Source organism: Homo sapiens, chromosome 14, assembly GCF_000001405.40.
Source record: "Homo sapiens chromosome 14, GRCh38.p14 Primary Assembly".
Taxonomy (NCBI): Eukaryota; Metazoa; Chordata; class Mammalia; order Primates; family Hominidae; genus Homo; species Homo sapiens.
Genome location: NC_000014.9, coordinates 52,754,465 through 52,770,476, shown reverse-complemented (window position 1 = coordinate 52,770,476; position 16,012 = coordinate 52,754,465). Strand labels below are relative to the sequence as shown.

The 16,012-nt window shown below is 37.8% G+C and overlaps 1 protein-coding gene across 5 annotated transcripts in view; it reads right to left on the bottom strand.

Annotated features, from left to right (window-relative positions):
* Nucleotides 1–16,012, bottom strand: part of STYX (serine/threonine/tyrosine interacting protein) — a 44,824-nt gene that overhangs the window by 4,513 nt on the left and 24,299 nt on the right. For 4 of the 5 annotated variants that reach the window (NM_145251.4, NM_001130701.2, XM_011537108.2 and 1 more), the window contains 6 exons: nucleotides 13,866–13,926; nucleotides 13,122–13,158; nucleotides 12,695–12,734; nucleotides 12,553–12,603; nucleotides 10,723–10,795; nucleotides 1,544–1,637 (listed from right to left, as the gene is read on the bottom strand). In NM_145251.4, the coding sequence (NP_660294.1) occupies nucleotides 1,544–1,637; nucleotides 10,723–10,795; nucleotides 12,553–12,603; nucleotides 12,695–12,734; nucleotides 13,122–13,158; nucleotides 13,866–13,926 (356 nt within the window). The remainder of the gene's footprint in view (nucleotides 1–1,543; nucleotides 1,638–10,722; nucleotides 10,796–12,552; nucleotides 12,604–12,694; nucleotides 12,735–13,121; nucleotides 13,159–13,865; nucleotides 13,927–16,012) is intronic. The other variant, XM_011537109.3, reaches the window with a different exon arrangement.

Genomic DNA, 16,012 nt, shown 5'->3' with positions numbered 1-16,012 from the left:
CACATAGAATCAAAGCTATCTCTGTATCCCCAAAAGTTATAATCAAGAAATTAGACTCTCAATGGAGGAAAACTTTAGGGAACAGTTAAACCAGCAGAGGGTCTGCTGTGTTTTTTGCCTAACAATGGCATGACCTTAAACTTATGCCCTACAGGACTGTTATATCATGGTAATAATAATGTTAATTCAGAGGGCATATTCTAATTGAAGAATGTTTCACTATAAAATTCATAAAGATAAAAATATAGTATCAATACAATTGAATGAGATAAAATATCCTAGCCCTCAGGCTAAACCCAGATACTGTGATTAAGTTTCAGATGAAGTGCTGTGCTTCTATGGGAACTCCAAATGACTAGGGGTTAAAGGAAGAGTGCATTAATCATCATGTCTTCCTGAGGAGATGACATATGAACCAAGAATAGGGAGACTAAATGTGATGCATTTTAGGTGGGGAAAAGAAGACACACACAGGAAACCATCAGCAGTTGTTTTCTGAAATGCAGACATAAAGAAGAACAATGAGAGAAAGAAACCAAAAAATCAGAAGGGCATATGGCATTCTATAAACTTTTGTAGGAATGAAGCCAAAGGAGGCTTTGGCAAAGGAAAAATATCAATATTAGAAATATCTTTCATGGGAATAAGTCTGGCCACAATGTACAGAACAGACCAAATAACAAGAGTTTGGAAAGGAGGCAAATCCGGACCTGAACTAGATTAAGGTCACTATTAAAAAAAGGAAGGAATGTTAACAATACTGACAAAACGGACCCTATAGGATGTGGAGAGCAATTATTAGACAGATGTGGCAAAGGAAATGAAAAAGTCAATGACAATTAGGAAGTTGAGCCTTGGGGATGAATATACAGTCATATTACTCACTATGGGCAGTGCAGTAGAGTGCAAAGAGTTCTATACTTGTGGATCAGATCACCTGTCCTCAATTTCCAGGTCAGTGCTAAGTATATAAGCTGTTCTTACTACCTTATATAACTGTTGGTTCAAAGATTGAAGTGAACTGCAGGGTAGGAAAAACTGGAAATAAAGTAAAAATGCCTTGTGTGCTTTGTTGGGAGAGAAACAAAGGTGATAAACACAGGTAGCAAGGTCTTGGGAAAGGAAGATTTTAAGAGCATGCTTGGATTAACTTTGAAAATAAGGGGCTTAGGGTACTTCTGAAATAGCAACAGAGGGAGGAAAGGATGGAAATATTGATGGCAAGAGAAAGAAGCTCACATTAGCCATGCTACACGCTGTATTAACCGCCCTCTACTTTTAATAAGATCACCTAAGCGTGTTTAGGGCCCCTTCTCCAGATTCGTATTATTTTAATCTTTACAACACGGATGTACTACTACTTGAAAGACTTAAGCTTATTATAGTACACATTTATTCATTATAAAATGAATCCTTCTGGAATTAGCTCAATAGTTTAACAAGTTTTCTAAACAATTTAAATTGTTCAGTGTAACTTGTAGCAAGTTCTCCACCTTTCATTATCTTTCTTCCCAAATTTCTCCAAAAAGAAAAAAATCCTTACCTGTGGTACCAGAATGAACAGATAATGACCTTTCTATCTGGAGTGGTGACATCATCTGTATTGTTAATTTTGCTAGGTAGATGGCTTCATATTCCTAAAAAAAAAATAAGTTAATTAACTTAATTATATATTTACATTCTTGGATACCCAAAATAGTGATTAATGTATACACTGTTGGTATTCTTCATCTGTATTGAAAAATCTAGTGCCATATTGTTTGAAGAGAAATGGAAGTTTAAAATTCCTGTCTCATAAATTCAGAACTACTGATAACTATAAATCAAGCCCGGCTAATAGTTTGTGCTAGGGTACTGCATGCTGAACTGCCAGTCAGTATGGCATTAGCTATAATGATCTCTGACTTCATCTGTTTAAAAAAACCCCAAAAAACACCAAAAACTTAAATTGGCAATCTCAATAGTCCTCTGCTTCCAGTTATAGATAGAAGAATAAAGGCATTTTTGTTTCTCTCTTTTCTGAAAACAAGGAAAACATTTGATGAAACTAGGAAACATCCATTACCCTGAAAATGAGAAGAATGAGGGGAAAAGGAATTGATTACCAGCTACGTCAGGATAGTGGTTACTTTACAGAGGGAGAAACAGATTTGTGCCTGAGAAGCGGCATGAAAAAGGCTTTTGGTGTCCTGGTAAACATTCTGTTTCCATACTTCGGCAATAGTTACATGGATGTTTATTTACATTTTATGCATTTTCTATATTATAATTTCACAATAAAATTTTCAAAAAAAATAGAACCATCCTAAGCTAGGCATAGCAGATAACTCCTCTGTGGGCCAGAGTAGGTACAGTTCATAGCTCGCTAAAAAAGGTGACCTAAAATAAAACCAACAAGCCCTTGCATGGTATGACAAAGTCAGGAAATATGAGTGGCCTATGGGAGAAGGTGGGACATATTAAGGAAAATGTGAACACCTACACCTGCCATTTTTTGCAAGCAGCAGGCTGTTTAAGTATGGTAAGGCGGAAGTGAAATTTGGTTGCATGTAGCCAAGCATCAGTTGATCTTGGATAGCTAAAAGTAAAGGCTAAATCAGCAATTCTAGCCTGGATATACATGAGAATCACCTGAGGCACTTTAAAACCTATATACCTAGGCCCCACTCTCACAGATTTTGATTTCATTGGCATGGGTAAGGATTCCCCAGGTGATTCTAATATGAATCAGTGTTTATCAATTTAAACAAAATAAACCTGTGATATAAGGAGCTCTGCTTCTTACTCACTGATTCATGCCACCAAAGGAACCTGGGAAAATTCAAGCTGTCAGCCTTCCCCAACCACTCCTCTGGCCCCTTTCCCACAATTTTATTCTTGGGTAAATAGCTGATCTAAGACGAATACCTCCAGTTCAAAGATGACCAATAATCAAGAAGGAACCAGTTAGGTCTTACTCAAAGATTTTGCAAGAAAAAACAAAACAAAACAAAACAAAAACAGAAAAGCAAGAGTATAACCAAATGTCATAAAGAAAATGCCATAAAACTTATACCATGAAGCAGATGAAAACTATGAACAAATTAATCAAAGAAAATATGGCAGTTATGGGATTGAATGTTTGCATTCCCCTCATAATTCATATGTTGAAGTCCAAACACTTAATGTGGGGACTTTGGCAGGTGATTAAGTTGGGATGAGGTCATGAGAGGACTGGCCCTATGATGAAATGAGTATCCTTCTAAGAACTATGCTCCCACCTCAAACCACTTACACTTATTCCTCTACCTCAAATGCTTTTCCCCAAATACGTGCATCTCTTTAGGTCTTTGCTCAAATATCACTTTTCAGTAAGCCCATTTCTGACCACCCTTCTAAAAATACAATTCTCGTCCCACCTTCCTTACATGGCCTTATTTTTCTTGGATTCATTACTTCTGGCCTACTACATTTTGTTTGTTGTCTGATTCTCCCACTAAATAAGTTTCGTGAGGTCAAGGATTATTGTCTGTTTTGTTCTCTGCTTTACTGTCAGTGCCTAACTAAAACAATGCCAAATAAATATTTAATGAAACAATGCAGCATGGGACATGGAAAACAAACGTGAGAAAAATCAAGTGGAAAAAAAAAAAAGAACAAAGCTGCAAATAATTACAGAGAAAATAGCAAATAACAAAGAAAAAAGGGAACATAAACTATACCGGGGTAAGGGGTATACTAAAAAGAAAAAGAAACAGAACAACCAAAAGGGTAAATACACAATAGAAGACAACTTTCCTGAAATCAGGGAAGGCTTGAATTTGCAAGTGGTAAGGGCACACTGTGACTCAGAAAAAAACTGATGTAGAGCAATCAACAAGATACATCTTGGCCGGATATAGTGGCTCATGCCTGTAATCCCAGCACCTTGTGAGGCCAAGGTGGGAGGATCGCTTGAGCCCAGGAGTTTGAGACCAACCTGGAAAATATGGCAAAACCCCATCTCTACCAAAAATAATTTAAAAAACTAAGCCAGGTGTGTGGTCTCACGTCGTAATCCCAGCACTTTGGGAGGCCGAGGCAGGCAGATCACCTGAGGTCAGCAGTTCCAGACCAGCCTGGCTTACATGGTGAAACCCTGTCTCTCTACAAAAAATACAAAAATTAGCTGAGTTTGGTGGCACATGCCTGTAATCCTGGCAACTTGGGAGACTGAGGCAGAAGAATCGCTTTAACCCAGGAGGCAGAGGTTGCAGTGAGCCAAGATTGCCCCATTGCACTCTAACTTGGGCAACAGAGTGAGACTTTGTCTCAAACAACAACAAACAAAAAACTTAGCCAGGTGTGATAGTGTGCACCCATGGTCCCAGCTACTTAGGAAGCTAGGGTGGGAAGATCACTTGAGCCCAGGAGGTCAAGGCTACAGTGAACCATGATCGCGCCACTGCACTGTAGCCTGGGTGACAGTGCGAGACCCCCTCAAAAAACAAAAACATAAAAAACCAGGATACACCTTGATAAAGCATCTTATGGTCATCTAGATGAGGGTCCCCACCCCTGGACTGCAGACCCCAGAATCGGTCCATCGCCTGTCAGGAACCAGGCCACACAGCAGGAGGTGAGTGGCACTCCAGGGAGCATTACCATCTGAGCACCACCTCCTCTCAGATCAACAGCAGCATTAGAGTCTCACAGGAGCGCAAACCCTATGGTAAACCTATCCCTCCCTATGGTATGCGAGGGATCTAGGTTGCACACTCCTTAACTAATGCCTGATGATCTGATATAGAACAGTTTTGTCCTGAAACCATCTCCCCCGCCACCCCATCCGTGGAAAAATTGTCTTTCATGAAACTGGTCCTTGGTGTGAAAAAGGTTGGAGACTGCTGATCTAGACAACCTTCTCCTGATACAAATCAATTCACCTAAGGGGGGAATCTTAAAATTGGTCTGCCTTCAAACTTCTCTAAAACAATATTTAGGCCAGGCACGGTGGCTCACACCTGTAATCCCAACACTTTGGGAGGCCGAGGAGGGCAGATCACCTGAGGTCGGAAGTTTGAGACCAGCCTAGCTAACATGGTGAAATTCCATCTCTTCTAAAAATATAAAATTAGCTGGGTGTGGTGGCATGTGCCTGTAATCCCAGCTAATCAGGAGGCTGAAGCGGAGAATCACTTGAACTCGGGAGGTGGAGATTGCAGTGAGCCTAGATTGTACCACTGCACTCATTCCAGCCTGGGCGACAGAGTGAGACTCCATCTCCAAAAAATAAAAAACAAACAAAAAATATTTAATATCAGGTCTGTGTACAAAATCACTAGGGAAAAAGTATTAAATACCTATTTTATATCTAGCCACTGTCATTCAAATATAAGGGCAAAAGAAAAATATTTTCCAATATGCAAAGGGATAGTTTCCATGGGAATATAGTTTCCATGAACTATTCTTAATAAAGTCCAAGAGTTTAATAAAGACACTGGAACAGGTAATAGGATTGGCTGAATCCTATTTAAATGTAGGATTAAGGGCTGGGCGCCGTGGCTCACGCCCGTAATCCCAGCACTTCGGGATGCTGAGGCGGGTGGATCACATGATCTCAGGAATTCGAGACCATCCTGGCCAACATGGCAAAACCCCGTCTCTACCAAAAATACAAAAATTAGCTGGATGTGGTGACATATGTCTGTAATCCCAGCTACTCGGGAGGCTGAGGTGTGTGAATCGCTTGAACCCAGGAGGCAAAGGTTGCAGTGAGCCGAGATCACACCACTGTACTCCAGCCTGGGCAAGAGTGTGAGACTCTAACTCAAAAAAAAAAAAAAAAAAAAGGAAAAGTAAATAAATAAAACCTTAAAAATTATGTAACAAACATAAACACACCAAAAAATTTTAAACTATAGCAGAAGGTTAAAAAAAGGATTCATTTAAAACAGAAAGCATAATATGAAATAATAATAGATAAGATTGTATCTGTCATTTTCAGTAAATGAAAGTGGGTTAAATTCACCTATTAGGAAACAATGATACCAAATCTAATAGCAAAACTCAATCCTAGACTACACTGAGGAAAAGCATCTAAAATCAAGTGATTTAGAAAGCTTGAAGGAAAAGGAATGGGAAAACTCAAAAGGTAGCAAGCGAACAGAAAGAGTAGGATTCACAATATTAAACGAGGTTAACTGCAAGGTAAAATAACCGAAATTTGTCCAGGCACAGTGGCTCACACCTGTAATCCCAGCACTTTGGGAGGCCGAGGTGGGAGGATCATGAGGTCAGGAGTTCGAGACCAGCCTGGCCAACATGGTGAAACCCCGTCTCTACTAAAAATACAAAAATTAGCCGGGCGTGGTGATGCATGCCTGTAATCCCAGCTACTTGGGAGGCTGAGGCAGGAGAATCACTTGAACCCAGGAGGCAGAGGTTGCAGTGAGCCGAGATCGCACCACTGCACTCCAGCCTGGGCCACAGAGCAAGACTCTGTCTCAACAACAACAACAAAAAACCCTGAAATTTAAACAGGGTACAACTAAAATAAAAACCTAACTTGAATTTTTATGTACCAAATAGTTAAGTACAGAAAAAAACTTGCAGAACCAAAAAAGGGGAAATAAAGAAAAAATAAACACAATATAGTAAAAGATTTCAATTCACTGATTTCAGCCCAAGACAGATCAAGTGGACAAATACATTTAACTTTATCCCCTGAAAACAGAATGCATCTTCTTTTCAAATGCCCATAAAATTCATGAAAACAACTACATATTAAACCACAAAGAAAACATCAAAAAATACAAGTACTACAAAACATTCTGTGATTACAATGTAATAAAACTAAATATGAACAAAAATAAAAAATTTAAAACCCAGTCACCTATACAATAAAAAAAATCTCAACACATATTAGATAAAAAATGAAACCAAAACTGAAATCACAGAATATCAAGCTATAACATAAAAATAATGCAGATGAGAATCTGCAGCATGCGACTAACACAATGCAAAGAGGATAATTAATAGCCTTGAATTTTTGAAAGAATAAAAAGAAACCAAGTTTTCAACTCAGGAAATTCACAACAGCAGCAGCAAACAACACTAAAGCAAAGTACCAAGGAAGCAGAAATTAGAATACAGAAAAACAACATGGACTAACCAGATGAAGAAAAAAAATAATAGAACCAAAAGATATTAAAGTACAAGATATTATTTTCCTTAATTCTATGTAGAACTCTTATGAAATCAATGATTACACAGAAGATCATAAATACATCCAAAGTGACCTGAGGGGTATCAGAAAATCAAACCAGGCCAGGAGCAGTGGCTCACATCTGTAACCCCAGCACTCTGGGGGCCGAGGCGGGCGGATCACCAGAGGTTAGGAGTTTGAGACCAGCCTGGCCAATGTGGTGAAACCTCGTCTCTACTGAAAATACAAAATTAGCCAGTTGTGGTGGCAGGCACCTGTAAATCCCAGCTATTCTGGAGGCTGAGGCAGCAGAATCACTTGAACCCAGGTGGCAGAGGTTGCAGTGAGTTGAGATTGCACCACTGCAGTCCAGCCTGGGCAACAGAGCAGAAGACTCTGCCTCAAAAAAAAAAAAAAAAAAAAAAAAAAGAAAGAAAGAAAGAAAGAAAGAAAAGAAAAAATCAAACCGATACACCAAATGAAGAATGTTGTCTGAGAACTGGTCTATTGTCAAAATATATGAATGAATGAAATAATGAATAACTGAATTAGATAAAACATTATGGTCAGATATTTCACAGGTGCCATATACTAATGCATTAAGAGACAAGTAACTCCAATCTAATTTAAATTGATCCATGGCACAAAGAGAAATGGAAAGCTTCCACTAAAAAATGAGAACACTGTGACAGAGATAGTAAAACCAGAAAAGGATAGTACAGAAAAAAAAAAGAAAGACAAACCAATTTACTATTTAACTGATTCCAAAATCCTGAACAAAAAGATTAGCAAATACAATCCAGCAATACATTAACAGAACAGTCTATCATAACCAAGTGGGATCCATTGCTGGACCAAAAGGATGATTCAATATTAGGAAATCCAATCTAATGTGATCCAGTAACTCAAGTCACCATATTAACGGTTCAAAAACTAGAACTAGCCATTCCATAAGCACCTTAAAAAAGAAAACTTCAAACTTCTAAAGGACATATCAGAATTTGGTATAAAATAAAAATGATATTTCAAATCGGTAGGCTATAAATAGATTTCCATAATATAAAAAGAGCTCTTACAAACCGGTGAGAGGAACACCAACAAATGATCACAAAAATCTGATAAAACATTTTTGGGCCAGGAGTGGTGGCTCACGCCTGTAATTCCAGCACTTTGAGAGGCCAAGGTGGGTGGATCACCTGAGGTCAGGAGTTCAAGACCATCCTGGGCAACATGGCAAAACCCTATCTCTATTTTTTTTTTTCTTTTGTGACGAAGTCTTGCTCTTGTTCCGCAGGCTGGAGTGCAATGATGCCATCTCGGCTCACTGCAACCTCCGCCTCCCGAGTTCAAGCAATTCTCCTGCCTCAGCCTCCCAAGTAGCTGGGATTACAGGCACCTGCCACCACGCCTGGCTAATTTTTGTAATTTTAGTAGAGACAGGGTTTCACGATGTTGGCCAGGCTGGTCTCAAACTCCTGATCTCAGGTGATCCACCCACCTCAGCCTCCCAAAGTGTTGGGATTACAGGCGTGAGCCACCACACCCGGCCATCCCATCTCTATTAAAAATACAAAAATTACCTGGGCGTGGTGGCACGTGCCTGTAATCCCAGCTACTTGGGAGGCTGAGGCAGGAGAATTGTTTGAACCTGGGAGGTGGAGGTTGCAGTGAACCGAGATGGCGCCATTGCACTCCAGCCTGGGTGACAGAGCAAGACTCCATCTCAAAAAAAAAAAAAAAAAAAACTTTTGGCTACTGGTGTTAATTAGGGTAGGAGGAAATAGGCACTCGGAGGAATAGGCACTTTTTGTTTCCTGGTGATATAAGTTTATTATTACTTCATCTTTTTTGGAGGCAATCTGGAAACATCTATCAAATTTCAAAGGCACTGGAATCCACCAATTCCACTTCAGTTACCTTACAGGTATATTCACACAGATGTACCTATCAGGATATTTCCAATATTCTTTTTTTTTTTTTTTTGACACGGAGTTTTGTTCTTGTTGCCCAGGCTGGAGTGCAATGGCATGATCTCAGCTCACCACAACCTCCGCCTCCCAGGTTCAAGCGATTCTCCTGCCTCAGCCTCCTGAGTAGCTGGGATTACAGGCATGCATCACCACATCCAGCTAATTTTGTAGTTTTAGTAGAGATGGGGTTTCCCCATGTTGGCCAGGCTGGTCTCGAACTCCTGACCTCAGGTGTTCCACTCACCTCGGCCTCCCTAAGTGCTGGGATTACAGGTGTGAGCCACTGAGCCAGGCCAATCTTCTTAAACATATGTATATACTATTCTTTCAAATACAAAAATTAATTTTAAAAAAGAATGTTTTTACACATTTGAAAACAAGTAAGAGCATTATTGGATTGTTTGTAACACAAAGGATAAATGATTGAGGGGATGGATACTCTATTTTTCCATGATGTGATTATTACACATTGCATGCCTGTATCGAAATACCTAACCTACTATGTATCCACAAAAAAAAGAAAAGCTTAAAAAATAGTTTAAAAAAAATGAAAAAAAACAATGTTTTCTACAACATGGTAAAAGGCAAAGAAACTTACAAAGTTAGAAGACAAACATTTTACATGAACAGGCTGAACACAGATGACACTGTTTCTCTTTTGAATGTAGTAAAAATTAAAAGTAAATTAAATATTAAAATAAAATTTAAACCTTGGTAACTATAACAATATATTTTGTAATAAATATTCTTGATGTTGAAACATGAGCTTTATTCCTACATAATTGGATGTAATTAGCCAGAGCACATTCTGCAGCCTATGATTTTGCCTCTTGGAATAAACTGAGCAACGTGGTCTAATTAGGTTAATTCATAGACTTATCATCTTTGTCAGTGCATCTGCCAGGCATCAACAAAATATGAAACAACATGGAAAAGATAAACATAGAATAGAAAAAGCTGTTATAGTTAGTATACTTAGAATCAAAACTGTCTTATGCTCTGTGTGATCAAAATGAACAACAAAAAAAAATCAGACATTTCTAACAGCAATTATTTTACTTTAGATTTGATAATGTGTCTTTAACCCTTTTTTCTTGGTAATGCCAGCCTTTAAGAAAAAAAAGTTTTTTTAATTTTTTAGGGATGGGGTCTCACTCTGTGGGCCAGGCTGGAGTGCAAAGGCACACTGTTCACTGTAGCCTCAAACTCCTGGGCTCAAGCAATCCTCCCATCTCAGCCTCCTGAGTAGCTGGGACCACAGCCATGCACCACCATGACTGGCTAATTTTTTTTTAATTTTTTATTTTTTAGAGATTGGGTCTCACTTTGTTGCTCAGGCTGATCTCATACTTCTGGCCTCAAGCAATCCAAATGCCTTGTTCTCCCAAAGTGCTGTGATTATAGGTATAAGCCACCACACCCAGCCAAGAAAATACTTCTAAATAGAGATATAAACTTGAATAAAGCATCAAAGTAGTCAGATTATGGCAATTTTAAGTATTCACAAAGTAAATTGTACACCTAAATTACATGTATAAAAGATTTTATATCTTACTTCTGATTGCCTTAAAGAGGAAGAAAAGTTACCTGAAGTTGATGGACAAATCCAGCATTAGGATTAATACAAAATCTTCTTTCTTGAACATAAGCAAAAGCATCTCTGAAAACAGAAAAAGAGTGTTAATGTGATAGCATTATTTAATGAATTAATCATAATCATACAACTTAGCAATAGAGAGGGGTAATGAGTTGTAATGGAAAAAGCATGATGAGATTAAATATCACAATTCCTTTTCTCACCAGCTATATGCTTACGGCAGCTTGCTCAACTTCTCTAAGCTCTATTTTGTCCATTGGTAAAATGAAGAGTCTAATAACACCTACCTTGGGGAACTACTATGAATAGGAGGTAAGTGTAAAGTGGCCAGGTGCAGTGGCTCTTGCCTGTAACCCCAATCCTTTGAGAGGCCAACACAGGAGGACTGCTTGAAGCCAGGACTTTGAGACCAGCCTGGGCAATGTAGTAAGACCCCATCTCTACAAAAAACTTAAAAATTAGCCAGGCACAGTGATGTGGTATAGTCCCAGCTTCTTGAGAGGCTGAGGTGGGAGGATTACTTGAGTCCTCAAGTCTGAGACTACAGTGAGCTATGATTGTGCCACTACACTCCAGCCTGAGAAACAAAGGAAGACCCTGTCTCTAAAATAAATATATAAAATGTAAGCATTTTGTGCATATAGTACAAGTTCAAGCTCAAAATACTATCACTGGTTAAAGAGGTTTATTTACTTTTGTTATGAGGCTTAAAGTGCCTATAATAGTACTGAGCTCATAGCAGAGACCCAATAAATACAAGTTATTTCCAACATTAATGGTCTGACAAAATTCGAAATAATAAAAACAATATATAAAACATAAAGTCCATCAATACATGTTTAATCTTTTTTCAATTAAATATTTGTATTCTGGCTGGGTGCAGTGGCTCACCCCTGTAATACCAGCACCTTGGGAGGCCGAGGCAGGTGGATCACAAGGTCAAGAAATCGAGACCATCCTGGCCAACATGGTGAAACCCCATCTCTAATAAAAATACAAAAATTAGCCAGGCGTGGTGGTGTGCACCTGTAGTCTCAGCTACTAGGGAGGCTGAGGCAGGAGAATTGCTTGAATCTGGGAGGCGGGGGTTGCAGTGAGCTGAGATCGCACCACTGCACTCCAGCCTGCCAATAGAGCAAGACGCCGTCTCAAAAATAAATAAATAAATATTTGTATTCAAATAATATTCCTTTAAGAATAGATATTTTTAAGCAAAGTTATCCATTCTAATTTAGATATAAAAGGGGACTGAAATAGAAAGATGTGTCAATGATTACTATAAGATTTCTAATTTGTAGAACAAGAAAAGCTGAGAAAGGAAATACTGTACACTGGCCAGGCTTTTGCTTTGTCTTGGGGCAAGAAGCTCATTACCACCCCCTATCTTTTAAAAAATCTATACAGAATGCTTGGAAAAGATGATTTTTGATAAGAAAGACTACTCTGAATTGTAAATAGATGCTGCAAACAATTCCTAGGTAATTTTTCATCCAACTATTGTTAAAGGAGAACATGATAAATTAGCCCTTTAAATAAGGCAAGCACTAACATTTGTGGTCACGAGTTTTTATACTCATACCAACCAATTCCCTTGTGGTAGGTAAGTAGTTTTCCATAGGATTTCCATATTAGCCTATGCATATCTATACAAGTAGATAAATTAGGTTAAGACTAATCATGGAATAAGGGCCTGCCTAATCAAACATGACTACATGAAAAATAATCAGGGGAATAAGAACTTCAAACTTCCAAACTATTCCCATTAAGTTTCATTTTAATGAGAATTTAAACTGTGGCTAGGTTTTAGGGTATTTTCTTACCTGTACTTCATTCCAAATGTTTCCATAATGTATGCAATAACAAAGGCTGCACTGAAGAGGGGAAAATAATTTTAAAAACAACCAGAAAATACAGCCCATTAATTAAATGTTATAGAAAGAAAGATTATTTCTAACTTCATACCTTCTGGAGATCCCTGCATTTCCATGCACAAGAACTTTTCCTGAAAAACATGAATTCATTATTCTAATAGAAAAACACCTGAGTCAGTAGCTGAACTACATTGAAACCACAGTAAAGTAACTCCTTATATACTATAATCACTTGGATATCTTCAAATCTTTACAATTTGTTATTATCAACTGTGTAGAGAATATAGCAGACTCTTATTAAAGAAACTGAAAGCTCACAGAGAATTTGAAAACAGTCTACAGGGATACTCCAGAAAGCCTATCCAAATGAAACAAGTAATTGGGAAAATACAAATTTGGGAGTAAGCTACTACATATAATTGTAACTTCCATATCCTGCATTTAAGACAAATACCAACTAAAAAATTAACAAATAATCAAAATATAAACATTAGTTAAGGAAAGGAAATGTTATTTACCTCCCATTTGTAAGCTCCCATCAATAAATTCCTTAGTCTGGAGGCAAAAGACATGTGGATTAATGTAAGCATAAAATAAATGCATATAATGAAACAAAATGAAACCTATTGAAAACAATTTCCTAATTTATATGTATAAAAATTATTTTGATTCACCAATTTCCAAAATGCTATAAATAGAACTATTACAAGTCCAAAAAAATTAAAGAAGCCAAAATTTAATTTAAGTCCAATACATTCACAATATGATTCCTCAAATTTCTGGAGATCATAAAAAATTTTCTACAAATAATTCTTTTAAAAACACAATCACATAATTTTCAGTCATAGCAAAGTAAAAGTAGCAAGCTTTACAAGCACAATTAAAGGGGCTGGGCACGGTGGCTCACGCCTGTAATGCCAGCACTTTGGGAGGCTGAGGCAGGCAGATCACCTGAGGTCGAGAATTTGAGACCAGCCTGATCAACATGGAGAAACCCCGTCTCTACTAAAAATACAAAATTAGCTGGGCATGGCGGCTCATGCCTGTAATCCCAGCCACTTGGGAGGCTGAGGCAGAAAAATCACTTGAACCCGGGAAGCAGAGGTTGTGGTGAGCCAAGATTGCGCCATTGCACTCCAGCCTGGGCAACAAGAGTAAAACTCTTGTCTCAAAAAAAAAAAAAAAAAAAAAAAAAAAAGCACAACTAAGAAGTCAAATCATAAATAAATTTTAAATGATATTTAAAAAATACTGGTACCTACCATAGGGAAAAAACGTATTATATTTTCAACTGGATTATCTGCAATATCCAGGACTAAATATCTGAAAATAGAGTATTTTGTGATAAGCACACTTTAAGTAAAACACTTAAGGTACTTTAAAAAAATAACTCATTATTTCTTGTTAACCATGGCAAGAATGCAAAACAACTTTCAAAGTATCATATTCCCAAGAACTGTGTGGTAGATTTTACATTGCTTGAAGGCATTAAAACCTGAAACACCATGTTAACATCTCTGATATTTAAGTATTTAAAAAATCCATCAGGCTGGGCACAATGGCTCATGCCTATAATCCCAGCAAAAAGAAACTCTTTTGGGAGGCCAAGGTGGGAGGATCACTTGAGCCCAGGGATTCGAGACCAGCCTGAGCAACAGAGGGAGACTCCATCTCTACAGAATATTAAAAAATTAGCTGGGTGTCGTGGTGTGCACTTATAGTCCCAGCTACTAAGGGGGCTGAGGTAGAACTGTGTGAGCCTGGAAGTCAAGGATATAGTAAGCTGTGATTGGGCCACTGCACTCCAGCCTGGGTAACAGAGCAAGATTCTTATCTCAAAAATAAATACATATTTTATTTGCATATAATGAACCATCTGGTTAAAATAGAAAAATCACAAGCAGGAAGATACATTCCTCTAGATTAGAGTGGACCTAGAAATAAAGACAAAAGTACCTGTAATCGTTATGTTATTCTTTTATTTCTACCAATTTCTCTAAGACCAGAAGATTGTTCTCTAAGTGGTCCTGTGACTCCTGCTCATGAACCTACAGAGGACATTTCAGAGGAAGTCCAAAGTCTAAGAGAACGAACAAATAAAAACGGAAGGTATGGTCTATGGAACCAGGAGTCAAACATTCACTGTTTGAACTCATCTTTAGTAAAGGGGAAAAAAAAAAAAAAAAAAAACTAGCTGAGAGAGCACCTGTACTGAATTTTACACTTTACAAAATACTTAAAAGGCATTTTAAATATGTTAGCTTATTTTTGTAAAAAACTTCCATTTCTAAGCGTTTCTAAGACCACTGTTTATTAACACAACTATAGGCAATTAGCTAAGTTATTAAATTAGTTTTAAGAACAATTTTGCACTAAAAAATACAGTTTTTCAATGATCATTTAGGTGGTAACAACTTCAAAGAATTCAGGACTTTAATACAGAGAAGCTGAGGCTGAGCATGGTGGCTCATGCTTGTAATCCCAGCACTTGGGGAAGCCGAGGCAGGTGGATTGCCTGAGGTCAGGAGTTCAAGACCATCCTGGCCAACATGGTGAAACCCCATCTCTACTAAAAATATAAAAATTAGCCAGGCATGGTGGTGCACACCTGTAATCCCAGCTACTCAGGAGGCTGAGGCAGGAGAATCACTTAAACCCGGGAGGCAGAGGTTGCAGTGGGCCAAAATTGTGCCACTGCACTCCAGCCTGGGTGAAACAGCAAGACTCTGTTTCAAAAACAAAAAAAAAAAAACAAAAAAACAAACAAAAAAAAACACAGAAGCTGAACCTCAGGATCTGAGGAAAATCCAATATTTAACCTACAAGGATTTCGACAATGACTGTATCCTGAAGTGACTGGGTATTCCAGTTACATAAAATAATGCTTCAGGGGAAAAATGTTAACTCAGAATGAAATTAAATATTTTAACGCATAACATTTTCAGTGTCAAGCACTGCTAGTAGAACTATCAATCTCTAAGAAGCTAGTATTGTAAAAGTTTAAGGAGAAATGGTTCTTCCATTAGGATAAAGAACCTGCACAAACAACATTATAATTTAAAACAAAAAGTCTGTACACATTAGAAATGAATAGTATGATTTTTTGGCTTTTTTGTTTTTTCTTAAGATTAGTTTCACCTTATATAGTTTGATATTTTAAAATACAACATTCTCATTTTCTTTAATAATTCTATGCATATATACGTAAATACACATACACAACAGAGAACGATTTAAAAGGAAATATTCCAAATGTTAACAAAAGTGTTTTCTCTGAATTGTGGAACTGTAGATGATTTAAATATTTTTCTTGGTGTCATTCTATACCTTCCGAAGTACTTATAAAGAATAAGTGTTTCATGGCCAGGTGTGGTGGCTCATGCCTGTAACCCCAGCACTTTGGGAGGCT